The 1560-nt window shown below is 46.9% G+C and overlaps 1 pseudogene across 1 annotated transcript; it reads left to right on the top strand.

Moving 5' to 3' along the window:
* The first annotated feature begins 655 nt into the window (after nt 1-655).
* IGHV1OR15-1 (immunoglobulin heavy variable 1/OR15-1 (non-functional)) lies at nt 656-1297 on the top strand (annotated as a pseudogene). The gene is made up of 2 exons (NR_135694.1): nt 656-763; nt 849-1297. The product of NR_135694.1 is annotated as an immunoglobulin heavy variable 1/OR15-1 (non-functional) (transcript).
* Nucleotides 1298-1560: the final 263 nt, after the last annotated feature.

The raw sequence follows: 1560 nt of genomic DNA, 5'->3' as shown, positions 1-1560 counted from the left end.
AGTGCAAGGTGTGGGTGGCAGGGAGCGCTCGGGCCTCCCCGCAGCACAGACTTGCAGCCCAAGAGCAGGTGCACAGGAGGCTGGGGAGGGGTTCCTCCCAGGGGTTGATGTCTTCCTTTTCTTGAACAAACATGCTTTAATAAGTTAAACAAGAATTTAGTAAAGACTATTTGTAGGATTTATCTAACCTAACAAGTCAATGAGAATCACATTTAAAAGGAGAAATTTCTAGGATTTTCAGATATCTTAATAGTTAGGAGATGGAGAAAAGGGATAGTTTTATTAATTCAGTGCTTGCCAATCTTAGCAGAGACAGTAGTAAGACAGGCAGAAAGCAAAGCCCAGAAAAGTATGAAGGTGTCAAAGTGCCATTTAAGTATGGGTTCACTTGGAGGACCATGTTTTGTGGGAACTTGTTTTCAGCAGAGACAATTTATTTTAGCAGAGTTCTGGGCATACAAGGGGACACACATCATTAAACAAGGATTAGGACAGGGCTTCAGCGTCCCACTGTTGCATGGCCCATAAATAATGTGTGTTCTCTTTCTCATCTTGGATCAAGTCTAGAGCTATGAAGCTATGAAATAGTACCCCTCATGAATATGCAAATAACCTGAGATTTACTGAAGTAAATACAGATCTGTCCTTGCCCTGAGAGCATCACCCAACAACCACATCCGTCCTCTAGAGAATCCCCTGAGAGCTCAGCTCCTCACCATGGACTGGACCTGGAGGATCCTCTTCTTGGTGGCAGCAGCTACAGGTAGGAGGCTCCCTAGTCCCAGTGATGAGAAAGAGATTGAGTCCAGTCCAGGGAGATCTCATCCACTCCTGTGTCCTCTCCACAGGTGCCCACTCCCAGGTGCAGCTGGTGCAGTCTGGGGCTGAGGTGAAGAAGCCTGGGGCCTCAGTGAAGGTCTCCTGCAAGGCTTCTGGATACATCTTCACCGACTACTATATGCACTGGGTGCGACAGGCCCCTGGACAAGAGCTTGGGTGGATGGGACGGATCAACCCTAACAGTGGTGGCACAAACTATGCACAGAAGTTTCAGGGCAGAGTCACCATGACCAGGGACACGTCCATCAGCACAGCCTACACGGAGCTGAGCAGCCTGAGATCTGAGGACACGGCCACGTATTACTGTGCGAGAGACACAGTGTGAAAACCCACATCCTGAGAGTGTCAGAAACCCCAGGGAGGAGGCAGCTGTGCTGGGGCTGAGAAATGAAAGGGATTATTATTTTTAATGTTGTTTACAGTATGTCATTAATAAATTGAAAAAAGTAACAATAGAAGTATATACTCTAATTATATGGGAAGTTTGTTTTTTCAGTTTTTTGGTGTTTTTTTTTTTTTTTTTGGTTTGTTTGTTTGTGACAGAGTCTCACTCTGCCACCCAGGCTGGAGTGACACGGCAAAGTCTCAGCTCACTGCAACCTCCACCTCCCAGGTTCAAGCAATTCTCCTGCCTTGGCCTCCAGAGTAGTTGGGATTACAGGCACCCGCCACCACGCCCGGCGAATTTTTGTATTTTTAGTAGAGACGGGGTTTCACCAT

This window comes from Homo sapiens, chromosome 15 (assembly GCF_000001405.40).
Source record: "Homo sapiens chromosome 15, GRCh38.p14 Primary Assembly".
NCBI lineage: Eukaryota > Metazoa > Chordata > Mammalia > Primates > Hominidae > Homo > Homo sapiens.
Note: the sequence above shows the minus strand (reverse complement) of the source record. Positions and strands in the feature narration are given on the sequence as shown.